Here is a 27,610-nt window from a genome sequence, read left to right as displayed (position 1 = left end):
GCAAATTAAATCTTTTTTTTTTTTTTTTTTTTTTGAGGCAGAGTCTCCCTCTGTCGCCCAGGCTGGAGTGCAGTGGCGCGATCTCGGCTCACTGCAAGCTCTGCCTCCCAGGTTCACGCTATTCTTCTGCCTCAGCCTCCCGAGTAGCTGGGACTACAGGCGCCCACCACCACGCCAGGCTAATTTTTTTTGTATTTTTAGTAGAGATGGGGTTTCACCATGTTAGCCAGGATGGTCTCGATCTCCTGACCTCATGATCTGCCCGCCTTGGCCTCCCAAAGTGCTGGGATTACAGGCGTGAGCTACTGTGCCCGGCTGCAAATTAAATCTTTTAAAACAGTAGTACCTCTGATGAAGTAGAGGAAAAGGGGAATCCCTACTGGCAGCTAATTTGTAAGAGAGGGCTAAGGATATCAACAGAAACCACAGCTGGCAAAATGCACTAGCAAATCAGATAAACTTATGCAAACAAATCGTGACTACAGACCACACTGATCTCTTAAAGTCAATCTCTTTTAACATCTATTCCTTAGGACCCATATGTCTGTAGATCTTGTACCCTGATACATGCAAACTGATCCAACAATAACTCCCCACATTCTTAACGTGTTTTGAAAATTCAATCACTGACTGTGCCACAACCTGCGTAGTTCACAAGTTCTCACCATTCCCTGACATGACCACCCTGTGACTAACTCTAGCACCCAAAACCCTTTAAGTATACTTCCCTGATTCCCTTTGCTATCCATTCTCCCTTACTGCTATGAAGGTGTTAGCAGTGGTATTGACTGATGAGCTTTATTTAATAAATTTATTATTTGGCTGATAAGCTTTTCAACACATCAATGAGACACGTTATTTTCAAAACTTGTTAAGGTATTATCTTCAAAATTACCTATATATCAAAATAGATTTATTTCAGGTACCATAAACCAAATGTTAACAGTGCAAAAAGCAAACCATTAAATATACATACCGACAAAGACTCTTTGATCAAACTTTAAACAGACTCTATTGAGCCCTCTTTTTGTGTAGGCCTCATCCTTGGGCTCTGTCTTCAGCCTGTCTAAATAAGACTTAGCAAAGAATCCTGCTAAGTCATTAGACCCTCAATGTCTGATCAACCTTCATATCTGATCAAGTTCCTCATCCCACACCCTTGATATCTAAGTCCTTGGCCTGCCTTTAGCAAGAATCCTGTTAAGTCAGTTTAGCAAGAATCTCCCTACCTTTGATATCTCCTGTTAATAATTTTCCATCCACTGACACCCTCAATCTGCTCTTTAGCTTACAAATACTTGCTTGTTTTTGTTGTATTCACGAGCTGAGCACAGTTTCTCTCCTACGTTACAATAGTCCTCAGTAAAGTCTTCCTTACTATTGTAACAAGTGTCAGAAGAATTTCTTTTCAAAAATACTTATTTTTTAATGCTTTATTTGTTTTTAAAACTTTAGCATGCCACTTAGCAATCATTATAAATGGCTTCAAATCACTTTAAAAAAAAAATAACCGTAACAGAAATACACTTTTAAAGGTCCTCTTCATCATCAGTCTTCTCATTCGCATGTTTATTACTTCATTTATTGACTTCTTAAATGATCTAATATCTTCAACTTCAATCCACTTTACCATTTTACACACTGAATTTCTGAATTTCTACCTAATGAGTAAAAATAGTTTTGTATTAGTCAATTTTCATGCTGCTGATAAAGACATACTCGAGACTGGGAAGAAAAATAGGTTTAATGGACTTACGGTTCGACGTATCTGGAGAGGCCTCACAATCATGGTGGAAGGCAAAAGGCACTTTTTACATAGTGGCAGCAAGAGAGAATGAGAGAGAAGTGAAAGCGGAAACCCCTTATAAAACCATCAGATCTCATGAGACTTATTCACTACCACAAGAACAGTATGGGTAAAACTGCCCCCATGATTCAAGTATCTCCCAACGGGTCCCTCCCGCAACACGTGGGAATTCAAGATGAGATTTGGGTGGGGACAGAACCAAACCATATCATTCCACCCCTCGCCCCGACCAAATCGCATGTCCGTACATTTCAAAACCAATCATGCCTTCCCAAAAATACCTCAAAGTCTTAATTCATTTCAGCATTAACTCAAAAGTCCACAGTCCAAAGTCTCATCTGAGAGAAGGGAAGTCCCTTTCACCTATAAGTCTGTAAAATCAAAAGCTAGTTAGTTACTTCCTAGATACAATGGGGGTACAGGCATTAGGTAAATAAAGTCATTCCAAATGGAAGAAATTAGCCAAAACAAAGGGGCCACAGGCCCCATGAAAGTCTGAAATCCAGTGGGGCAGTCAAATCTTAAAGCTCCAAAATGATCTTCTTTGACTCCGTGTCTCACATCCAGGTCATGCTGATGCAAGAGGTGGGCTCCCACAACTTTGGGCAACTCTGCTCCTGTGGCTTTGCAGGGTATAGCCCCCCTCTCGGCTGCTTCCATGGGCTGGCATTGAGTGTCCGTGGCTTTTCCAGGCACATGGTGCATGCTCTTGATAGACCTACCATTCTGGGGGCTGGAGGACCATGGCCCTCTTCTTACAGGTCCACTCGGCAGTGCCCCAGTAGGGACTCTGTGTTGGAACTCCTACCCCACATTTTCCTTCCTCACTGCCCTAGCAGAGGTTCTCCATGAGGCACTGCCCAATGCAGCAAACTTTGCCTGGGCATCCAGGCGTTTCCATACATCCTCTGAAATCTAGGCAGAGGTTCCCAAACCTCAATTCTTGACTTCTGTGCACCTGTAGGCTTAACACTACATGGAAGTTTCCAAGGCTTGGGGCTCCCACCCTCTGAAGCAACAGCTTGAGCTGTACCTTGACCGCTTTTAATCATGGCTGGAGCAGCTAGGACACACAGCACCAAGTCTCTAGACTGCACACAGCATGGGGACCCTGGGCCCGGCCCACAAAGCCATTTCTTCCTCCTAAACCTCTGGGCTTGTAATGGGAAGGGCTGCCACAAAAGTCTCTGACTTTCCCTAGAGATATTCTCCCCATTGTCTTGGTGATTAATATTTGGCTCCTCGTTACTTTTGCAAATTTCTGCAGCTGGCTTGAATTTCTCCTTAGAAAATGGGATTTTCTTTTCTATCACATTGTCAGGCTGCAAATTTTCCAAACTTTTATGCTCTGTTTCCCTTTTAAAACTGAATGCCTTTAACAGCACCCAAGTCACCTCTTGAATGCTTTGCTGCTTAGAAATTTCTTCTGCCAGATACTCTAAATCATCTCTCTTAAGTTCAAAGTTCCACAAACCTCTAGGGCAGGGGCAAAATGTCACTACTCTCTTTGCTAAAACATAACAAGAGTCACCTTTGCTCTAGTCCCCAACAAGTTCTTCATCTCCATCTGAGAGCACCTCAGCCTGGATTTCATTGTCCATATCATTATCAGAATTTTTGTCAAAGCCATTCAACAAGTCTCTAGGGAGTTCCAAACTTTCCCATGTTTTCCTGTCTTCTTCTGAGCCCTCCAAACTGTTCCAACCTCTGCCTGTTACCCAGTTCCAAAGTTGCTTCCACATTTTCGGATACCTTTTCACCAGCGCCCCACTCTACTGGTACCAATTTACTGTATTAGTTTGTTTTCACACTGGTGATAAAGACATACTGAGACTGGGTAATTTACAAAAGAAAGAGGTTTAATGGACTTACAGTTCCACATGGCTGGGGAGGCCTCATAATCATGGCAGAATGTGAAAGGCACTTCTTACGGGGTGGTGGCAAGAGAGAATGAGAGAAGCAAAAGCAGAACCCTTATAAAACCATTAGATCTTGTGAGACTTATTCACTACTATGAGAACAGTAAGGGGGAAACTGCCTCACCAGGTCCCTCCCATGACACATGAGAATTCAAGATGAGATTTGGGTGGGGACACAGCCAAACCATATCATGTTTATTTCAATGTTTACACATTTCTTAATTGTAAGATTCCAGGCCTCCCAGTTTCTTCTGACTGTCTCTGTTTCCATAAGGTCTCAGGTAGGGAACCATTTCTGGGGATCTAAATATTATTCCACTTTTGATTCTAGCTCTCTCCCCATCAGGGTAATTTGTTGTCCCTGAAGCTACTTCATGAAGCTTTACAACTTATTGTCACAGCACTTGATTTTCTTCCTAAGTGTCTTAAACATTACCTCTAATGGGCCAGGTTTGGTGGCTCACACCTCTAATCCCAGCACTTTGGGAGACCAAGGCAGGCGGATCACAAGTTCAGGAGATTGAGACCATCCTGGCTAACATTATGAAACCCTGTCTCTACTAAAAATACAAAACAAAAACAAAAACAAAAACAAAAAACAAGTCAGGTGTGGTGGCACGCACCTGTAGTCCCAGCTACTCAGGAGGCTGAGGCAAGAGAATCACTTGAACCCAGGAGACAGAGGTTCCAGTGAGCCGAGATTGGGCCATTGCACCCCAGCCTTGGTGACAGAGTGTGACTCTATCTCAAAAAAAAAGAAAGGAAAAGAAAAATACCTCTAATGTACCTCACAACAAACATCAACTTAGTCTGCTATGCCTCCTGCAAACATTATTACTTATCTGAATTCTACCAGTTCATTACAGATAATCTGAAATGTTGCCATCTCTTTACAGCCTTTTGTGAAAACATTTGCTGATAGGTTTTCCCCCTCAATTGGTAAATCTCTACTCACCAATGAGGGTCTGACTTGTAGGGAGGTATATATAACAGTAGTTACTTTTTAATATGGTGGCTCATTATTCTAATAATTTGAAACATAATTATCTTTGTTTAAGCATATGCCAAAAATGAGCTAGATACTTTTAATATATTGCTTCTAATCTTCACAGTAATTTTTCAAATGGGATAATTATTATCCTCATTTTACAAATGAAGAATTAAGGGTCAGAATGTTTAAAAGACTTACCCCAAATCACATATCAACTAAGCAAAGTCTATACTTTATTCATTACATATAATGCTTCTTTCTTTCATGTCCCCACCCGTTTCCTCCAGTTGCCTTTGTTTTCTTCTGGACTTAAAAAATTATGTAGCATTTTACTTATCTAGCAGTTAGACTTCTAATCTCAGTAAACTGAAAAGATTCACAGAAAGCAAAAAGTAAAATAAAAAGTCTGTAGTTATCAAGAAAAATAGTACTTATAGCACCCAGATATCTAACATTAGTTTCAACATAGGACCTGTAAATCTTATATTGTGAAGGAAAGATGTAACAAGCGTCACTGCAATATTATAGGTGGTAGCATATTAGAAATTGTAGCAAAATGTCACTACTGTCTATCAGGGAGGAAGTAAAAATCATTTACCAGGAAAGCAAAGCAAATGAGAAACCATTTACTAAAAGAGAAAACAGTTCTATATCTCTTAATAGTTGAGGTCATCTTATATTAAGCTACATTATTATAATTTGCACCATCATGCGGTTTATCTACTTCATAGGCTCATTTGCTAAAAGGATTATATGAATTATCATCAATATGTTACTTTAGTGAGTAGTTCTTCCTACATGTTTAGAGCATTTAGCGGAAATAGATATTACATAGAGAATATAAAAGAGCACCTCATAAACATTCATTGTTTAATTTAAGCTGGTTTCTTGAATATCTTAAGCACTTGGATTGCTGAACTCATCAGGGAATGCTTTAGTTGGTAGCTATATTTCATTGCCTGTATCGAAATTTTATACTATAATTACTTGCTAACTTTTAGGAAACATGTAATTAATATGCATACATTTTAAGATTCAAAGATAATTTTTTTCACATTTAATATTTCTGGAATTGAGATAGTTTTATAACTCTGATCGACATCATCTATAAAAAGATTTTTAAAATCAGTGATCTGTCTCAGGAAAATACATACAACCATGTTAATTTCAGTATGGTCAGAGCAAAAATTGAAAAACAATCCAATACCCATCAATATAAAAGAAAGTGGTTAAATAAATTATAGTAAATCCATACCATGAAATTCTATCATGCATGGTACTATCATAAAGGTAGCCAAAATGAATTAAGTGTGATGTTTTCTAAGGTTAAATGAGCAAGGTAAACAAATATCCACAATTTCTACTTAAATACTTAGAGTACAATTTTTGTAGCTGGATGACAGTGTCCTACATTATGTAATAAAAATATGCTGATCAAAGAATGTTGAAGGTATGTTTGTCAGTGTTTCCATTCCACCCTTAGCTTTCAGCAGGTCCTGTATGCTTGCACCACAGGTAGGGTTTCCCTCTGCTCTCTTGACTCACCTATATTGGTGGAGTGCTGTTTTTTCACTCATGCAAAACTCCTCATCGAGGCAGAAGCTAGGTTGTCCCTGGTCCAGCCTCAATTTTGGACATGCCCTGAATGCCTGAACCTCAAGTTCGGGCTTTGCCTTGTTTCAGTGGGGTTCTTGGGAAGAAATGAAGTTCCTGCTCCTCTCTTTTTGGCAAACTGTTTTATTTCTATCCCTCTCTCTGGTGGCAGTCAATCTTAAGGTAGGCCATAGACAGGATGGTTTGCTGCTCCTCCTTCAGTGGGTTTTTTCTTCTGTAACAGATAACCTTTGTCACAGACTGGAGGGCATGAGAGTTTCCTGCCTCAATCCCAGAGGCAAAACTGCTTTTGCTTTGGATAGCAGAAGGGTCAGTGGAGGTAGGAGGGAAAGTATTCCTTCTTCTTTCTCAGGGACAGTCTACCACGACCAAATCTTTTCCCTTAAACAAAGATCTGGTAAACGGGTATAGACTCCCCTTATTTCTTAGGCTTCTAGGGTTTCTAAACTGTTAAGCTTCCCTTGGCCTTTAAGAATTCATTAAAATTTCAAGTGTTTCTATCTTCCTTTATGACTGCTTTTTCTTCTTTCTGTGCTCTTTGAAAAGTAAAATGGTTTGTGTGTCCCATCCTTTTTCTGAAGGGCTTATTGTCCTTTAGAATCAATTTGCCTAGTTTCTTTACAGCAGCCATAGCTATAGAAATGTAGCTCTCTGATAAAAAAAGTATTTTTTCATACTATCCAGCTTTGTTGTTGTTGTTATTATTGGAGTGGGGGTTACATTTTATTTGGCTTTCTACATTCTGGGTAGAAGTAAAATTCCCAGTACCATTCATTTTTAATGGAGTTGTCTTTTCCGCTCTGCACCCAAGCAGTACCTATTCTGGTTTTGAAGCACAAGAATAAGAGCCCACCACTCCCCACTGTCTTTCCTACCTCCTAGGATTCCTGTGGATTTTTTTTTTTTTTTACATTTATTATCATGAAGCAGTGTAGAGTCGAAATCAGGCTTCAGGTCAGTGGTTCTTAATTCTTCTTTCCCTGGTCTACCAGGCCAGCACTATTGGAGCAGCACAAAATCTTGTTGAAGAGCTAAATTGTTTTTGGCAACACAATGTCTAATCCATAGGAGAGAAGATAGTGCCATCTCTCCTGGAAAGTCACCCTCCACATATACATGGCCTAAAGAGCTTATATATCAGCCTAAGAAAAGAAAACCAATAAGAAGTTGCATTTTCATTAAAAAAAGAAAGCCACGTTTCATATCCTACTACTCTTCGCTTACATTCTTTCTCTTCAATAAAGTTTTTATACCTGAAAAAATAATCCTCTGGTTCTCGTGCCCTCATTTAAGGTGGAAAATGATAATCTTTTCTGTTCTTGAGTTGGGATAGAGTTTGTAGGGCAATAATTTCTATGTGTAAAACACTTCACTTAAGGACATTCAGTCGGACATTGATTTCTGATTTTTGTGCGTCCAAATCTTTTACTGTGGTGAAACTGTTTTTGTTGTTGTTGTTGTTGTTGTTGTTTTAATGTCTTCTGCTCTCTCCTGGTCCTTCAACAATTTTCAGGTTGTTTCTAGTGAGATTTTTCAGTTGGAAAGCCACCATAATAAAGTAAGTCTGGGGAAACTGGGGACGGACAGTTCCACTTTTTTTTTTTTTCCATGCTTCTGGTGCTCTTTGTCTGTGTTAGCAGTTATCAAAATCTAGTTTTAGCTTTTTTTTTTCCTTCCGCACGTGGAAGAAAAGAAGGAAAACAGCTTTGGAAGTTCTCAACCGTCAACCCCCGGGAGGACGTTTGCCTCCTGCCCTAGGAGAAACGTTCGCTCTGGAGGCTTGGGCGGCAAGAGCCCCTTGTGGCCACCGAGTCCTCCGACGCCCTCGCCAGGCTGGCCTTTGGGTTGGCCCAGGCAGGACGGGCAGCCGAGAGCACTCGGGCCGCGTCGCCAGGAGCCGCCCAGGGTGAGCCATGTTCGTAGGCGTCGCCCGGCACTCTGGGAGCCAGGATGAAGTCTCAAGGGGAGTAGAGCCGCTGGAGGCCGCGCGGGCCCAGCCTGCTAAGGACAGGAGGGCCAAGGGAACCCCGAAGTCCTCGAAGCCCGGGAAAAAACACCGGTATCTGAGACTACTTCCAGAGGCCTTGATAAGGTTCGGCGGTTTCCGAAAAAGGAAAAAAGCCAAGTCCTCAGTTTCCAAGAAGCCGGGAGAAGTGGATGACAGTTTGGAGCAGCCCTGTGGTTTGGGCTGCTTAGTCAGCACCTGCTGTGAGTGTTGCAATAACATTCGCTGCTTCATGATTTTCTACTGCATCCTGCTCATATGTCAAGGTGAGCCTGAAGGAGGCGGTTTGTTGTGGCGAGGGCAGCTGGGGCCGCACTGGCGGAGGCGGGAGAGGGAGTATGGCGGAGGACGCCCTGGGGTGGCCCAGCATGCCCTGGGGTGGCCCAGCCTGAGGCTGCTTTCTGACTTCTCAAGGCGTTGTCGGATCAAAGTTTAGCCACCCAGTGGGTTTACCTTGCCCGCTGCCTAGACAGAGAAGATTTATCAAGGAAGGGGAATTGCCATGGAGAAAGAGTAAGGCACGCAGAGCCGGCTGTGCGGGAGACCAGAGTTTTTTTATTGCTCAAATCAGTCTCTCCAGCATTCTGGGATGGGATCAGAGTTTTTAAAGATAATTTGGCTGGCAGGGGCTCGGGAACTGGGGAGTGCTGATTGGTCAGGTTGGTCAGGGAATCATAGTGTGGTTGAAGTCAGGTTTTCTTGCCATCTTCTGTTCCTGGGTGGGATGGCAGAACTAGTTGACCCAGATTACTTGTCTGGGTGGTGTCAGCTCAACCATCCAGTGAAGGGTCTGCAAAATATCTCAAGCACCGAGCTTCGGTTTTACAATAATGATGTTTTCCCCAGGAGCAATTTGCGGAGGTTCAGACTCTTGGCGCCAGAGGCTGCATGACCCCTAACCTTAATTTCTAATCTTGTAGATAATTTGTTAGTCCTGCAAAGGCAGATTAGTCCCCAGGCAACAAGGGGATCTTTTCAGAAAAGAGCTATTATCAATTTTGTTTCAGAGTCAAACTGTGAAATGAATTCCTTCCCAAAGTTAGTTCGGCCTAAGCCCAGGAATGAACAAGGAGTTTAAAGGTTAGAAGCAAGAAGGAGTGGATTAGGTCCAATCTGTTTCACTGTCATAATTTCCTCATTTATAATTTTTGCAAAGGTAGTTTCAAAAACAGGTTAACCGGCTGGCACGAACTTGGGTGCCTCACCTCCTCCAGAACCTGACTGGCACAGTCCATCCTACACATTGTGGGTGATGAGGGCCTGGCTTCCAGATAGCCAGCTGCAGAGAGGATATTGTTGAGTCATTTATCGTTGTTTGGTCACCAACTCTGAGAAGTTCTGGGTTGAATCACCTGGAGTTTAAAATAAAGTTGAAAACGGTGTCTATGATCATTAAATGGTTTCTGATCCTGCTCACAAATTTGCGACATTCTGGCTCAGCCACTCTCTATTGGATCTTTTTTCCTCATCTATGAATTTATACAAGAGAATCTAAACTTGAGGTTGTTATTTTTGCCCACATATTTTGAAGAAGGTGAATTTGAACACTTTAGACCTGGCATGCCTCTCTACTTGACCACAGCTCTCACCTCCCCTATTACATCAAGATTCTTTACTAGCCTCTTTTCAATGATGGCATTGGAATTTGACAAACCTGTTCTCTTTTTTGCTCTAAGATGCTAGGTCTAAATAAGTGCAATCAAAAGGCTGTATGTTGTAAGACCCATACTAGAAAAACTAATAAATTGTCATCGAGTTTGTCTTGAGATTATCAAAGAAGTTTCTTAGAAGAACAAGCATTTGAACTATGCCTTTATAGTAGGTACAGTTTTGAAAGCCAGAATGAAATTAAAGAGTATTTGTTGAATAGGGAAGCGAGTTAATGAATCGTGTTTTGTTTTAGAAAGGCTTGTTTCACAATAGTGAATGACAAGTTTGGCTGGATAATGGTTTCATCTAGGCACCATAAGGGGGTAATTATATTTATATTATCCATCATGTCTCCTTAGTGACTGAGGTATAGAAGACACTCAGTAAATATGTATTCGATGCATGAATGAATTTTAAAAGAAAGGAAAAGACAGATTATGCCTAGATTATGAAGGCCTTTAAATACCAGACATAATTCTGAAAGGATATAAAAGGTACTTACTTCCCACTATGTTGGGTCATGAGTAAGGTGCTTTGCAAGTATTATCTAGTTTAGTGTAATCCCCTTATTAGGTGGGTAATGAGGAGCCATTGAAGGTTTCTGAACAAGTGATGGACAGTATATGGTTTTTAGCTCTGTATCTTAACTGACTTCATACAGGTAGTTAGCTCAGTTTGGGTATAATATTGAGTCTTCCATTCATAAAAATGGTATCTCTCTTCATTTTTCTATTTGTCAATTGATCTATTTATTATTTTTACATTGTAAACAATTTTAAAATCATTTCAAACATAAAGAAGGGATACAAAGGCAGTACAAACAATACCTGCTTCCTGTGAGTCAACCAGATTCTTCATCTGTTAACATTTTACCACATTTGTTCCTTCGCCTTCTCTTTCCCTATACATGCCCAGTTTTTCAGACATGGTGCACCACTACTGCTAACTACTCCAGTGTGCAACTTCCCAAAGTGAGACACTCTCTTACATAACCATCGTTCCTCACAGGCAGGAATATCAGTACAATACTATCATCCAATTATGAACTGGTGGTCCCATCCAGATGTTGCCAGCTGTCTCAATATTGTCTCCTTTTCATTTTGGGGCCAAAATTCTATACAGGAACATATGTTGCATTAAGTTGTCATATTTTACAAGTCTTCTTTAATCTGGAACACTTCCTCATACTTTCTTCTTGTTTCTTATGTCCTTGAAAGTCTTACAGAGTATGGTTTTTTTGTAGTGCAGGATGAGCTTCAATCTGGGTCTGTTTGATGTTTTCTGATGACCAGACTCAGGCCTTTTTTCCCTCCCTTCCTCTCTTCTTCTCCCTTTCCCTCCATCCTTCCTTCTGATTTATTTAGATATAATTTATGTACAATAAAATTCACTTTTCAAAGTATGTTATTCAATGAGTTTTAGTAAATATGTACAGACATGAAACCACAGTGCAATCAATTTTATTTTTTATTATTTATTTATTTAATTAATTTTGAGACTGCCTCTGCTGAGTGAGTCTTGCTCTTGTCACCCACGCTGTAGTGCAATGATGTGATCTCGGCTCACTGCAACCTCCGCCTCCTTGGTACAAGTGATTCTCCTGCCTCAGCCTCCCAAGTAGTAGGGATTACAGGTGCCCGCCACAGTGCCAGGCTAAATTTTTGTATTTTTAATAGAGATGGGGTTTCACCGTATTGGCCAGGCTGGTCTCAAACTCCTGACTTCTGGTGATCCGCCCACCGCGGCCTCCCAAAGTGCTGGAATTACAGGCATAAGCCACCATGCCCAGCCAATGCAATAAATTTTAGAAACTTTCCATCACACTAAAATTTTCTTCATGCCCCTTTGCAGTCACTTCCTGCTCCTACCTCCTACCTTAGGTGACCTTGACCTACTTTCTGTCATTAGAGTCTTACATTTCCTAGAATTTAATAAACATGGAATCATACAGTTTCTGGTTTTTTTGTTTCTGGCTTCTTTTAATAGCTTGATGGTTTTGAGATTCATTCATGTTTTTGTGTGTATTAACAGTTTGCTCTTTTTTATTGTGAATAGTATCATTGAATGGAATTTTATCCACTATATCCACTCAGTAGTTGATGGACATTTGCGTTGTTTCTATATTTTTTTGACTACTATAAATAATGCTGTTAAGAGGAATTGCATATACATATTTGTGTGGACATACATTTTTGTTTCTGTTGGATAGATAACTAGGAATATAATTGCTGGGCTGTATAAGTATTTAAGTGTACCTGCTAGAAACTGCCAAATTACAAAGTGGCTGTACCATTTGCGATCCTGCCCGTCAGCAATATATGGGTTCCAGTTCCACATTCTTATTAATAGTTGGTATTGTCAGTTCTTAAAATTTTAGCTATTCCAGTGATTGTATAATGGGATCTCACTGTGATTTTAATTTGCATTTCCCCAATGACCAATTGTCTCAAACATCTGTTTATATGCTTTTTATCCATTTGTATGTCTTTGTTTGTGAAGTGCCCTTTAATAAATTGGGTTGTTTCTCTTATTACTGAGTGTTCTTTATATAATCTGGATGCAAGCCTTTTGTTGAATAAATATTTACTAATATTTTCTCCCAATCCGTGGCTTTTTAATATTTTTCTGTGTCTTTTTGACAAAGAAAGGATTCAACTTTCAACTTTGATGAAGTATAATTTATTAATGTTTTAAATGATTCATTCTTTTTGGCTTCTATCATAGAAACTATTGCCTAACTCAGTGTCATGAAGGTTTTCTACTTTGCTTTTCTTCTAGAGGTGTTATAGTTTAGCTCTCATGTTTAGGTCTCTGATCCATTGTGAATGAACTGTTTTGGTGTATGGAAAGGATCAAGTTTTAAATTTTTTTCATATAGAAAAAATGCTTTATTCCAGTATAGTTTATTGAAAACAGTGCCCTTTAATCCATTGAATTATCTTGATACTTTTGTGGAAGTTCTGATCTCTTTCTGAGTCTATTTCAAGACTTTCTATTCAGTTCTATTTTCCTAATACATCTATACTTATGCAAATATTATATTGCATTGGTTACTGTAGCTTTATTATATGCATTAAAATCAGGTATCCTTTCGACTTCGTTCCTTTTAAAAGTTGTTTTGGCTATTCTAGATCTTTGCTTTTCCATGTAAATTTTAGAATAAACTTGTCAATTTCTTTAAAAAAGTTACTAAGATTTTGTTGAGTCTATAAATTTGGAGAAAATTGACCTCTTAACGATATTAAGTGTCCTCATGACTGAACATGCTGGATATATCATCTTCATTTACATCTTCTATCCTGCATCTTTGTTCAATTAACCTATTAAGTTACAGAAGTCATTTTTTTGCAGACTCCTTAGGATTTTTTAGTATACATTATTATATCATCTGTGAATAAGGACAGTTTTACTTCTTCCCAATCTGGATGCTTTTTGTTACGGTTTGTCACTTTATTCCACTGGCTAGGCTCCCTGGTACAATGGTCAATAGAAATTAGGAAAAGCAATGTTCATTGATATTTTTCTGATTTTTAGATAGAAAAAATTCAGCCTTTCACAGTTAAATATGTTAACTGTAGGTTTTATTTTTTAAGATGCCTTTTATCAGTTTAAGGATATCTCTTATTAGTTTGCTGAGAATTTTTTGTCATTAATTGGTGTTGAATTTTATCATGTGCTTTTTCCTGCCTCTATTGAGATGTTCATAAGGAAAAATTTGTTGTATTAATATGATATATTGCGTTTTTTAATATTTGGATATTTGACAAACCTTGCATTCCTAGGATAAGCCCTTTTTATTAGATGATTGTCTTTTTCTGCGTATTGCTGGACTTAATTTGCCAAAATTTTGTTAAAAATTTTTGTTTCTGTGCGAGTATTGTTCTACAGTTTTCTTAGAGTGTTTTTATCTGTCTTTAGTAACAGGTAATAGTTTCGCTAAATTAATTGGGATGTTTTTCCCCTTCTTATCTTTCCTCCTCATTTTTTCTGAAAGAGTTTGTGCAGCATTATGTACCCTTTGTGTAGTATTTTTTTTAATACACTTTAAGTTCTAGGGTACATGTGCACAATGCACAAACCTGTCAGACAGAGACATTTAAGTCTGCAGAGGTTTCTGCTGCCTTTTGTTTGGCTATGCCCTGCCCCTAGAGGTGGAGTCTACAGAGGCAGGCAGGCCTCCTTGAGCAGTGGTGGGCTCCACCCAGTTAGAGCTTCCCAGCTGCTTTGTTTACCTACTCAAGCCTCAGCAATGGCGAGCACCCCTTCCCCAGCCTCGTTGCCGCCTTGCAGTTTGATCTCAGACTGCTGTGCTAGCAATGAGTGAGGCTTCGTGGGCATGGGACCCTCTGAGCCAGGAGCGGGATATAATCTTCTGGTGTGCTCTTTGCTAAGACCATTGGAAAAGCGCAGTATTAGGGTGGGAGTGACCTGATTTTCCAGGTGCCGTCTGTCACCGCTTCCCTTTGCTAGGAAAGGGAATTCTCTGACCCCTTGCACTTCCCAGGTGAGGCAATGCCTCCCCTGCTTCAGCTCACACTCGGTGGGCTGCACCCACTGTCCTGTCCCAACTGTCCAACGAGCCCCAGTGAGATGAACCCGGTACCTCAGTTGGAAATGCAGAAATCACCTGTCTTCTATGTTGCTCACGCTGGGAACTGTAGACTGGAGCTGTTCCTATTCGGCCATCTTGGAAGTGCACCCATTGAGTATTTTCTTGACCCTATCCAGTCTACTGAGGAGGTCATCAAAGACATTTTTTTTCATTTCTGCTGCAGTGTTTCTGATTTCTCACATTTTATTTTGATTCTTTCTTAGAGTTTCCATCTCTCTCCTTACATTACTTATCTGTTGTTGCATATTGTCCATTCTTTCCAATAGAGTCCTGATATGGTTTGGATTTGTGTCCCTGCCCAAATCTTATGTTGACTTGTCATCCCCAATGTTGGAGGAGGGTCCTGGTGGGAAGTGATTGGATCACGGGGGCAGACTTCCCCCTTGCTGTTTTGTGATAGTGAGTTCTCAAGAGATCTGGTTGTTTAAAAGTGTACAGCACTTCCCCTTCACTCTCTTCCTCCTTCTCTGGCCATGTAAGATGTGACTGCTTTCGCTTCACTTTCCACAATGATTGTAAGCTTCCTGAGGCCTCCCTGAGGCCTCCCCAGCCATGCTTTCTGTACAGCCTGCAGAACTGTTGAGAGGTGACAGCGTGCTGGCAGTCCTCACAGCCCTCGCTCGCTCTCTGCACCTCCTCCGCCTTGGCGCCCACTCTGGCCATGCTTGAGGAGCCCTCCAGCCTGCCGCAGCTCCGTGGGAGCCCCTTTCTGGGCTGGCCAAGGCCGGAGCCGGCTCCCTCAGCTTGCAAGAAGGTGTGGAGGGAGAGGCACGGGCGGGAACCGGGGCTGCGCACCGCGCTTGCGGGCCAGCACGAGTTCTGGGTGGGCGTGAGCTCAGTGGGCCCTGAACTCGGAGCCACCGGGCCACCCGCAGGCCCCAGGCAGTGAGGGGCTTAGCACCTGGGCCAGCAGCTGTTGTGTTCAATTTCTCGCGGGGCCTTAGCTGCCTCCCTGTGGGGCAGCGCTCGGGACCTGCAGCCTGCCATGCCTGAGCCTCCCCCACCTCCGTGGGCTCATGTGTGGCCCAAGCCTCCCCAACGAGTGCCGCCCCCTGCTCCACGGTGCCCAGTCCCATCGACCACCCAAGGGCTGAGGAGTGCGGGTGCACCGTGCGGAACTGGCAGGCAGCTCCACCTGCGGCCCCGGTAGGGGATCCACTGGGTGAAGCCATCTGGGCTCCTGAGTCTGGTGGGAACTTGGAGAACCTTTATGTCTAGCTGAGGGATTGTAAATACACCAATCAGCACTCTGTATCTAGCTCAAGATTTGTAAACATACCAATCAGCACCCTGGGTCTAGCTCAGGGTTTGTGAATGCACCAATGGACACTCTGTATTTAGCTACTCTACTCTTGTGGGGACTTGGAGAACCTTTGTGTGGACACTGTGTATCTAGCTAATCTAGTGGGGACATGGAGAACCTTTGTGTCTAGCTCAGGGATTGTAAACGCACCAATCAGCGCCCTGCCAAAACAGACCACTCGGCTCTCTGTAAAATGGAGCAGTCAGCAGGATGTGGGTGAGGCCAGATAAGATAATAAAAGCAGGCTACCGGAGCCAGCTGTGGCAACCCCCTGAGTCCGCTTCCACACTGTGGAAGCTTTGTTCTTTCGCTCTCTGCAGTAAATCCTACTGCTGCTCACTCTTTGGGTCCACACTGCCTTTATGAGCGGTAACACTCACCGCGAAGGTCTGCAGCTTCACTCCTGAAGCCAGCGAGACCACGAACCCACCAGGAGGAACGAACAACTCCAGATGTGCCACCTGAAGAGCTGTAACACTCACCATGAAGGTCTGCAGCTTTGCTCCTGAGCCAGGGAGACCACGAACCCACCAGAAGGAAGAAACTCGGAACACACCCGAACATCAGAACAAACAAACTCCAGACATGCCGCCTTTAAGAACTGTAACACTCACCGTGAGGGTCCGCGGTTTCATTCTTGTAGTCAGTGAGACCAAGAACCCACCAATTCCAGACACACTGTGAGTCAATTAAACCTCCTTTCCTTATGAATTATCCAGTCTCAAGTAGTTCTTTATAGCAATGTGAAAATGGACTAATACATGTCTTTAGCATATTGATCATAGTTATTTTATTTTTTAATTGACATATAATAATTGTACATACATATGGGATAAAATGTAGTATTTCAATTTATGTTTATATTGTGTAATGATCAAATCAGTATAATTAGCAATCCTTTGCCTCATATATTTATCATTCCTTTGTGGTGAGAACATTCAAAATGCTCTCTTATAGCTATTTTGAAGTATACAGTACATTATTGTTAATAGGGTGACTCTAGTCACCCTACTGTGCAACAGAGCACCAGAATTGATATCTCCTATCTAACTGTAACTTAGTACTCATTGACCAACCTCTGTGCATCCCTCCTTCCACCCTCTCCAGCCTCTAGTAACCATTATTCTACTCTTTACTTCTGTAAGATCAACCTTTTTAGATTATACATATGAGTGAGAACATGCAGTACTTGTCTTTCCATGTCTGGCTTATTTCACTTAACATGATGTTCTTTATCCATGCTGTAGTAAAAAACAGGATTTTATTCTTTTTTATGGATGAACAATATTCCATTATGTATATATACCACATTTTCTTCATCCATTCATCTGTCAATGGACACTTAGGTTGGTCCATATTTTAACTATTATGAATATTGCTTCAATAAACATGGGGATGCAAATATTTCTTTGACATACTGATTTTATTTCATTTGAATATATATCCAGTAGCAGAATTGCCGGATCATTTGGTAGTTCTATTTTTAGTTTTGAGGAACCTCCATACTGTTTTTATAATGGTTACTCTTACATAAATTCCCACCAACAGTGTATAAAGGCTTCCTTTTCTATACATCCTTGCTAATACATATCTTCTGTCTTTTTGATAACAGCCATTGTAACTGGATATCTTATGATTTTGATTTGCATTCCCCTGATGATTAGTGATGTTGAGCATTAAAAAAAATAGATCTGATGATCATTTTTATGTCTTCTTTTGAGAAATGCCTATTCAGGGCTTTTGCCCATTTTTAAATTGGATTATTTGTTTGTTTGTTTGTTTTGCTATTGAATTGTTTGAGTTCCTTAAATATTCTGGGTAATAATTTAAATTTCTGGAAATCCCCCTTTTCCATATGATTCTGTTTTAGAGTTTTCCACTGAGGGTAACGTATGCGATGTTTGGAAGTTTGAAGAGAAGGAGAGGAGAGTCATCCTTCTCCAGAGATGTTTGCAAGCAAATCCTTGCAGGTCTGAGGTTGCGTGTATCCTGCTGAGCATTTAAAAACCACCCACTTTGCTCCTGCAGGCTGATGCAGCTCTTGGGAACTATTGCAGAAGCTCTTGAGCATTGCTCAATTTCTTGATGACTTTTTAAAGAAAATAAAGGGGAGAAATAGCAGTGGGGCATACCCCTAACCAAAGGGACTCTAACTTTTATGCTTCTATGCTTTCTATGCTTCTGTCTCCCCTGGCCTGCTGGCTGTAACTTCCTGACTTTTTATGTGACTTCCTCAATCTTCTGTCTCTCAATTCTCCCAATATTTGAATGTAAGCCCTAATTCTTAAATCCTCATTTTCTAGCATTTTTAGAGTGGGTCTTCCTTTGTATTTGAATGAAAAATGATCAATTTTTTGATAGATGAAATTATTCCTTAAAATGGGAAATCTAGAATTTTTTCTCTGATGTGACTAAATTTGAAGACAGTACTGACCTTGTTGCCAGTGCAAATATGGAACGCTGATATCTCTAGGTTGTAGTAACAACATTATTGCTTAAATTAAATTGACTGAAGTGTCAAGTGTCTGTTAGGCAAGGATTATCTGTTTGGGTTTTCTTCTTCTCCTGAATCTTGTCCCCATAATTTCTCATTGCTTAGTTAGCTCTTTATGCTTTCAAACAGATCTAAAAGTATTTTTTAACTTTCATATTCTCAGCAGAATGAGAGAATTGAATTATTTAGTCTACTATTAATGGAAGTGTAATCAACAGGTCAGGGAACTATATCAAAGGGAGTTGTTCAAGTGTATCTTAACATGTTACTTTTTAAAATAGAATATTTGGAAACTCGTGAAAAATATAACAAAACATTAACATTTGATAAATCGAGGAGAATTGTATATTGCTATTTTCTATGATTTTACTGATTTTTGCTCACCTGATATATAACAGTTTGAAAACATTGAGATTTGTTTTGGTTTGTTTCTCTTTATGTTTTCTTTATTTTCTCATTTTATTTATTTAACCCTATGTCAGTTAATACTTAATATAATGATAGTTATTGTATTGGAATTATACTCTTTATCATTATAAAATTTTCCCTTACTTTGTTTAATTAATTGCCTTATTGTAGGGGAACATATTTACTACTTAACTGGTTGACTATATGCTTTAATTTATGCGAAACAGCTCCCGTTTATGCCAGCTGTCCCATTTTTCATTGCAGTTTTCTCCCTTTTTGCTAAGTATTATTATTAATAGTTTATTTAAACAAGCTGGGATGGATTTAGTTGGTCCTAACTTTGTGCTTTTAGATTCTGCCTTGGTCTTGTTTTACAGTGGTTAAAAAATTTGTGTGCTGAACACAATTCTTACTTTGACATAGAGTAAGATCTAAAAGACAACCAGCAATAACCTGTCTTTCTTTCTAGACCTTGTCCACATGTAGTGTTAATGAAAATTCCTTTCAGGGACAGTGTGATGTGCATTTCTTGAAAAATGAAGTAATCTTGGATCTAGTCTCTAAAATTAACTCCACCCAATTTTGAGTGGTTGGGCAAGTATTTGATGCGGCTGGTTCTGCCACCCACTTGGTATATTAGCCAGAATTGTGATGGTCCATGCTGCGACTTGCAAGATACATGAAGTCACCAGGCTACCTGTTGGTAGGGTCAGTGGGAAGCATTAGACATAATAGATTAGCTTTACTTAAAGTATCTGTAGGAAACAGTGGCCGAAGAGTAAAGTCACAGAGTGCATAGTAGTCTAAGCACACTTTGTACTACGGTATTTTCATTTATCATATAGTGCATATAACCATCATTTTATGATTTTGTTATTTGGTAATGCTTTTTTACTTTCTAGTATACCTTTTTTGGCACCATGACATCAAAAATGGCATGTGCTATTCTTAAGCAAATTGATGAAGACTTGTACATTGTTTACATTTACTATTTATCAAAGGCCATAGTGATATTACTGACCACATAAAAACCCGAAGACATAAATCTGCTGAAGTTAATGGTGATTTTAGAAGACTACAGCTGAAAAAGATAACACATGCAGCTGCAAAAGGCTTATTTACAAAACATTTTGTGAAGTATGATTTTTTCATCTAGATTTAACTGTTCTAGTTTAATTTTGCTCATTTTCAATTCCAAATTTTTATATTCACATATGAAAATTAAAATAATAGCTGTAAATGAATTCACCCCATTAGCAGAAGGACAGTTTTTCAAATTGTTAGATAATGCCAGCTTTATATCAGTACCATCGGGAACTTCAAATAGAAAATAAATTAACTCAAATAATAATTTATTTTTTGTGAAATTAAAGAAAAGTTTTGGAAGTTCATTCTGTTGAAGATAAACACCTGATATTAATGTGAATACTATATGTTTAAACTTTCATTTTTGAAGATACAATTATTTATTTCTGTAACGATATTTACACGAATTTTTGGGTAGAGAATCATAGTAAAGACAATGTACTTATGGTACTAGGAAAGCAGTGAAGCAGAAATGTGCTTGGAATTGGTACACAAACAATTCCTAATTGTATCCTAAGAAAATATAATATTTAACATCAACATTTACAAACATTTATTCATGTTCAAGTTTTTATGTATTAATACTTCATCTTATTGGTATACATTGCCTTTCTTTGCCTCCTGGAAACAATAGACTTCACAAATGTTGGACTTTTTTTCATTATTTTATAAATTAACCTCAGTTGATTTATGATTTTGAACTGTTTTATAAATAAATTCTCTAATTTGCAGTTGTACTTTTATTTAAAAGCAGCTGAAAATCTTCCATTAAAGTATTCAATGAATGAATCACCATACTTCTAAAATATTAGAAGCTTTTGTTGAATTTTAATTATTGAAAACAAAGCTTAAAAATGGGAAGATACTAAAATGCATCCCTCCAAAACTAAGAGAGGAACTAAACAAACTATGAGAGCTTGAGTAGCATACAAGATTTATTTTAGAAATCCTTTAATTGTGCTTTGTACACATTTTTATTTTGGGAAAGAATCTTTGGATAGTTCCTTTGCTCTAACTAGGCAAATTTATACTTTGTAAATTGAATTGAATGAACTTAAGTAGACCTATAGCTTTACATAGCTAAATTTGGTGAAACAAAGTAATCATAAATAGAGACAACTTATTTGAAGAGTTTTGTCTTGTAAAATATTTTTCAAAGAAATATTCTCTGAATGAAATATTTTGGTTGAAATAGTTTAATATGAAAATATAATTGAGAACATCCTTCATTTAACAGTGCTTGTTTTTGAGCTTACTAGACACTTACACACTTGTAGAGAGTTTTTATCAATTAAAATATCATTTTCTACAGTGACATGTCAATAGAGGTTGTAATAACTTCAAATTTATTAACTATGTATTAGAAGCCCCTAAGACCACAGTCAGTCTAAATGATTCCCTGGGACTTCACAGGACTTAAAATAAGCTCTTGGTTATGGTTTATTACAGTGAAAGGATACAGATTAAAATCAGCTGAGGGAAAAGGCACATGGGATGAAGTCTGGAAAAAAACAGGCGCAAGTTTTCATGTGTCCTCTCCCAGTGGAATCACATGGACATGCTTATTTCTCCCAACACGTGTAATAACACATCCAAAGTGTTACTAACCAGGGAAGCTTACGTGAGCCTTCATGGTCAGGGTTTTTCTGTCAGTCATGTAGGCATGCAAAACCTCTGTGACTAACCTCAGGTACTCAGACTCCACACCCACACCCCATGACAAGAAAGATCTTCACCATAAATCACATTGTTAGCATAAACTGTGTGATCAAACTGGTACAATATGGCCCAAGGCCTCTGCCATATAAAAACATTGTTATTGGATAGAATATTCCAAGGGCTTAGAGCTTTTCTCCTGGGAGCCACCGAAGAGCCAGTCCTGAAGTCAGGCCTTTTATTTTATTTTATTTATTTATTTATTTATTTATTTATTTATTTATTTATTTTTGAGATGGAGTTTCGCTCTTGTTGCCCAGACTGGAATGCAATGGTGCAATCTCAGCTCACCACAACCTCCGCCTCCCAGGTTCAAACGATTCTCCTGCCTCAGTCTCCCAAATAGCTGGGATTACAGGCAGATGCCACCAAGCCTGGCTAATTTTGTATTTTCAGTAGAGATGGGGTTTCTCCATGCTGGTTAGGCTGGTCTCGAACTCCTGACCTCAGGTGATTCACCCGCCTCAGCCTCCCAAAGTGCTGGGATTACAGGCATGAGCCATGCTCCTGGCCAGGCCTTTTTAAAACAACCCAGTCCTGTTCAGTTAACCCTTCACTGCAAAACTGTAAAAAGCAACTTTAATATATTGCACCTAACTTTGTAAAAACTACTAAAATATATTTTTCAGAAAAGATATGAATCACATTTTATTAAGGATAGTATGGCTAAGAAACTGGTTAAAGTATGTGTTTATTAATAATCTTATTTTTAAAAAAATTTCTGATGTATAACATAAAAATGCTTGGAAATGTTTTAAGTAAACTTTTTCAGCTTCACCAATGTAATAAAAGTAATTTATCTATAATTACAAAAATAATATGACCTTTTTTTTTTGACAGAGTCTCCCTCTGTCGCCCAGGCTGGAGTGCAGTGGCGCAATCTTGGCTCACTGTAAACCTCTGCCTCCTGGGTTCAAGCAATTCTTATGCCTCAGCCTCCCTGAGTAGCTGAGATTACAGGCACCCGCCACCACGCCTGGCTAATTTTTGTATTTTTAGTAGATACAGGGTTTCACCATGTTGGTCAGGCTGGTTTAGAACTCCTGATCTCAGGTATCCACCCATCTCGGCCTCCCAAACTGCTGGGATTACAGGTGTGAGCCACTGCACCCAGCCAGTAATATGACTTTTGATATAATATTCTGTACCGGTCATTGAACCAGGAGAAACAAAACAAAACAAACTAACGAACCCTCAAAGATGGAAATCTGGAATTAGCTGTCTGACATGATTGGGCTTGGAGTCAATGAAAACAGTGATATTTGTGCCTGTGAATTATGGTTCACTAGAAATCCATGGCATGTAGCGACAAAAAGAGTCATTTAAATTATTGCCTAGGATAAAGTTCTTATTGAAGGCAAGACATTGAAAGACAAAATAGCTGCTGCAATTGACTCTTGTGGTGGAACCTTTAACTGCATTGAAAAGTTTACAGAAGGAAAATGAAAAGTTTAGGGTATGGTTAGAAAACGTGTGAGCTTCTCTCCTAGTTTCATAAGAAACTCTTATTATTTTTAGCCACATATTTTTGGTCAATACTAACTCTTACTCACAGGCGGCAGAATTGCAACATAAGTTGAACTCAAACTCACCAGATCACTTCTGTGGGAGCTGGGGCATTGATTTGAGAAAAAAGAAACCTTGAGAATTAGGATAAAGGCATCTGGGTGAAATTTGGTGAACCTGAGAAACATGAAACCCCAAATCCTGTACCTTCTTTGCCAGTAGGAACAATTAGTCCTCTTATATCTGAAGAGAAACAGTTCCTTGCTTGAAGACATTGAATTGGCCTCACCTGAGTTAAAGGAATGCTAATTCCCCTTATAAACGATCCCATACCCCATTGCTGCCAGACTCATAACTCAAATCAGATCCAGCCTTCCCAGAATGATTAACATAAAATCTATCCTATGAGAAAATATTCTATATACCAAAAATTGCTTGCCACTTCAGTAGTAGTTCTAGACACCAATTGGTTTGGAGTATATGGAACACTCTCTCTTCCAAAATGAAGGAAAAGTGTGTGCTATTGTACCACTCACTATTAAGAGGCACACTTTTTGGTGAGCCTCTGTGATTTTTCAATGGTAGAAGTATGCTATGGTAGCATTATAGACTTAGGGGAGGCCTTGAAAAGTAGAGGAAAAAGGAAATTCTCCCCGTGGAAAGAACATTGAGCAGTACATCTGATTGTCCATATTGCCAAACATTGCCCAGTGGTTTGACCATTTGGTAATTAGAAAGGCTGTGTAAGTGGTGAGTCTCTCCATATGAGCAGAGTTATCCTATCTGAATGAATGTTCACCAAAAGAAAGCCATTGCACAAGAGGCTCTCAATAATGAAGTAGATAGATAGATACGAATATTAGCCAGCCTCTTTCCCTAGCCATTCTATCTCTTGTTCAATGGGGTCTTATTTATAGTGACAATTACATCAAGGATGGAGGTTATATAAGAGGTGAATACATGGCCTTAACTTCACCAGAGCTCGTCTGGTTGTTGCACTGCTGAATGCCTGCCTTGCTACCAGGAAGAGTCAATATAATCTAGGTACTGGCTCCATTCCTTAGTGAAACCAACCAGTTACCTGGAGGCAGGTATTATATAGTTCTGGTTCTGTTATGAAGTGGGCAGTAATTTCTCCTCACTAAATTAGCCATTTATTTGGATATGGGTTCTTCTTTTGTCATCATGGTCCTGCTAACACTACCATAACTGGACTTAATGAATGCCATATAAAGCAGTATTACCATATTTACCAACACATTGCTTCTAATTAAGGAACTAATTTTACAGTAAAGAAGTATAGCAGAAGGTTCATGTTCATGTAATTCACTGATTTTACTACATATCTCAATAACCAGAACTTTTGGTCTTATAGATAATTATGATGTCTTATTGAAGACTTGGATAAGACTCGTGGTAGTAGACAACATTCAACCACTCCCAGTAGTAAACAAGTTTGTAGTGCTGTCCTATAGGATGGGGTATGTGCTTTGAGAGAACAATCTATGTATGTTATCTGCGATCAAGGGGTAGAAGAGCGAGTGAATAGTAGAAGAAGGAAGCTATGAATATCAACTATAGTCTCATAACCACTGAGAGAAATAAAACTTGTAGCAGCTCTGCATTTCCTCTTACTTGCTTGTCTTGTGGATTCACACACAAATATGTCATATGTACATTTGCGTGTATATATGTTTATATATGTATATGTTCTGGTTTTTTATTTTCTCTCTTTCTCTCCTTTCCTATTTTATTTTTCTATTAATACTTTATGGAAGGTAGAGAACCATATAAATTAATCTCTAGGTTATAGAATATGCCTCAATCGGAAGGGGAATTAATAACCCCACCTTAGAGATAAACTCAGTTACTAACAGGACTTATTTCCTACATTGGCCATTATCCTCCTTGGCCACATCTAATGTAAAAGTTAAAGAAAATTCTTATCCTGGGTGCAGCAAAGTTTTTATATGTTGTTTCCTGCTGGTATTGGTCTGCTGAAACTAGTTGTGGCTCCAAATCTGGCTCGTGGCTTCTTTGGCAATATATTTCCCCTCAAAAATTTAGTTAGGGCTGTGACATATTTGCTTAACTATTGATGGTTACCTTTGCAATTTGGTTTTTAAGTTAAAAAAATCCATTCAGGTTTGTGATTAAACTGAAGGATTAACATTACACTGAGATAGATATTGTGATTGATTAGACTGTGTACCTCTCTTTTTTGGGAGAAAGTGTAACAGCATTTCTGTAAAATGATAATTGTGATACATTAGGCAGAAGCATGATGATATTGCTACTTATTTGATATGAAAGTTTAAATATGAGAGGAAGGGTGAAAATGTATACCAAGTAGTCTAAAAGATAAACTCTGCAAGTTATTTGTCTGTTGGCCATGAACTCCATTACTCACTCCTATTTGCAAGGGGAATGGGAAGTCTGAAACCACAATTCCCAGAGTTGCTGGGGCCCAGCTGACTTCGACTTACATGCTGCAAGTGAATCTGTGGCAGCAGATTTGAAAAAGGGCAAAGGGAAGACTCTCTTTTCCTTTCTGTTTCTGGTGGTTTTGGCATCAGGAGCAATGCTGGGTGATTAAAGCCTCCTGGATTTATGCTCAGGAATAAATGTGATGCTATCAGCACTATAGAGCCCATGGGCTCTGGCACCTGCAAGGGCATCAAAATCAGCAGGTGAGCTCCCTGTCATAGGAAGACTGTGGGCTCCTGGCTTCCTGCCAAAAAAAAAATGTAGTGATTGCAGTTCTAACAGCAGCAGCAGCAGCAATAGTAGCAGCAGCCTATGCACCAGTAACTTTGGTTGCATAGATATCATGAATTTTGATTAGTAACCATTTGGACTCCAACTAATGTACTACTTTTGTAATCAATCCCTACATCAATTAATTTTGTTTCAAATTCTTAGTGTGATTATGATTACTTTTTTCCTAGTTGGATGTTGAGTGATAGAAATACACATAATATGGTACCATTCATTTCACATTCAGGAACATGAAAAACAATACTTGATATTGTCTAAGGACATATGTATTGTCAAAAATGTTAAAAAGGCTAAAAACTGGTAAACTTTAAATACAGGATGCTGATTATGGAGGGGAGGGAGACAAACGAGTTTGGGAAATATGCATTGGGCTTTAACTATTTTGATAATGTTTTATTTTCTATTCTATATGGTAGATAAATAAATATTATATTAGTAATGGTTTTAAATTTTTTATAATGTGAAATGCAATACATAAAAACAAAGATCAGTACTAAGTGAGATGACACAGCAATCACTATTCTTTAGGAAATTACTCAGAGAGGTAGTTAAAAATAGCTTCAAAAATTCAATTAGTGAATATTTTGTAGAGGTTAAGGCCTATTTATGTTTTAGAAAAGGAATTGTTACTTGCTTATAGCTTTTAAACATTCAGAATAATTTAAAATAAACTTACATCATGTAATTTAAATTTTGCTTTGTAATAATCATAATGACCTCTTAAAATGCATATCGTTGTTTTCTCTTTTTCTTTTTACATTTTAGGTGTGGTGTTTGGTCTTATAGATGTCAGCATTGGCGATTTTCAGAAGGAATATCAACTGAAAACCATTGAGAAGTTGGCATTGGAAAAGAGTTACGATATTTCATCTGGCCTGGTAGCAATATTTATAGCATTCTATGGAGACAGAAAAAAAGTAATATGGTTTGTAGCTTCCTCCTTTTTAATAGGACTTGGATCACTTTTATGTGCTTTTCCATCCATTAATGAAGAAAATAAACAAAGTAAGGTAGGAATTGAAGGTAAGGTTTTAAAATATACTGTCATACATCAAATCAATATTCATTCAAACCTTGGCTCAAGGAACTTAAAATAGACTGTGATAATTATTTGTCTGTATATCTATCCATCCATCCATTTGATTTATATGACCAAGTTTGCTAATTAACTAATTGTAGCATTCCAGTGGACATATATGTCATCACAGAGGAAGTTAATGATTAATTTTAGTCTATTGATAGAAAACATTTATTTTCAGATGTTGTTCAGTAGGAAGCTCAGTACTGTGATCCCTAGGAGAAGGGAAACAAACAACTTGAATTTTCTTTGAGAAGGGAAGAGTGAATCGATTAGGGGCATTTTTTATTATTATCAGGAGCTTGAAGGACCTCCTTGAGTTTATTAATCATGAACTCAAAGTGGGATTTGCATGGTTGTGCAGCCACATCAAGCTTTAACAGTACATGTAGGGAGTGGGAAGAAGAGTTATTTTGAGTAGGGTTGCAGTTTTACCATGGTTTTGCATGATTTGAAAGAGAGCAAGGGAATTAAAAGTATTTAAATGATAGTGAAAGAAGTAAGGACATGAAGGGGACATTGGGATAGTGAAAAGGAGCAGAATCAATGGATTATATACCCTGATGAATTTTAAGGATTGTTGGAATTGGGTTGCTGGAAAGAGTGAGCGGAAAGATAGGGGTGGTTAGAATGTAGATGCTTG

At 39.0% G+C, this 27,610-nt stretch overlaps 1 protein-coding gene and 1 long non-coding RNA gene across 11 annotated transcripts in view, besides 1 other annotated feature; one reads left to right on the top strand and one right to left on the bottom strand.

The window, feature by feature from the left end:
* Positions 1 to 1,418: 1,418 nt before the first annotated feature.
* On the bottom strand, positions 1,419 to 8,003 carry LOC124901035 (uncharacterized). The gene is made up of 2 exons (XR_007058892.1): positions 6,263 to 8,003; positions 1,419 to 1,661 (listed from the first exon to the last, which is right to left on the bottom strand). It is a non-coding gene; the product is annotated as an uncharacterized LOC124901035 (long non-coding RNA).
* An 84-nt stretch (positions 8,004 to 8,087) lies between these two features.
* The window catches only part of SLCO6A1 (solute carrier organic anion transporter family member 6A1), a 127,228-nt gene continuing 107,705 nt past the window's right edge, over positions 8,088 to 27,610 (top strand). For 7 of the 10 annotated variants that reach the window (NM_001308014.2, XM_047416703.1, NM_001289004.2 and 4 more), the window contains exons 1-2: positions 8,088 to 8,602; positions 26,655 to 26,912. In NM_001308014.2, the coding sequence (NP_001294943.1) occupies positions 8,245 to 8,602; positions 26,655 to 26,912 (616 nt within the window). In that variant the 5' untranslated portion in view covers positions 8,088 to 8,244. Of the gene's footprint in view, positions 8,603 to 26,654; positions 26,913 to 27,610 lie in introns of those variants that run through there. The other 3 variants (XM_011543148.3, XM_011543147.3, XM_011543150.2) reach the window with 3 other exon arrangements.
* Positions 8,201 to 8,701: an enhancer, noted in NCBI's record as "H3K4me1 hESC enhancer chr5:101834092-101834592 (GRCh37/hg19 assembly coordinates)". NCBI's record gives its function as "activates a minimal SCP1, AML or CMV promoter by ChIP-STARR-seq in primed H9 embryonic stem cells {active_cell/tissue: H9 hESC(primed)}" and the evidence as "EXISTENCE:reporter gene assay evidence [ECO:0000049][PMID:30033119]".

This window comes from Homo sapiens, chromosome 5, assembly GCF_000001405.40.
Source record: "Homo sapiens chromosome 5, GRCh38.p14 Primary Assembly".
Classification (NCBI taxonomy): Eukaryota; Metazoa; Chordata; class Mammalia; order Primates; family Hominidae; genus Homo; species Homo sapiens.
This window is presented reverse-complemented; position numbering and strand designations above follow the sequence as displayed.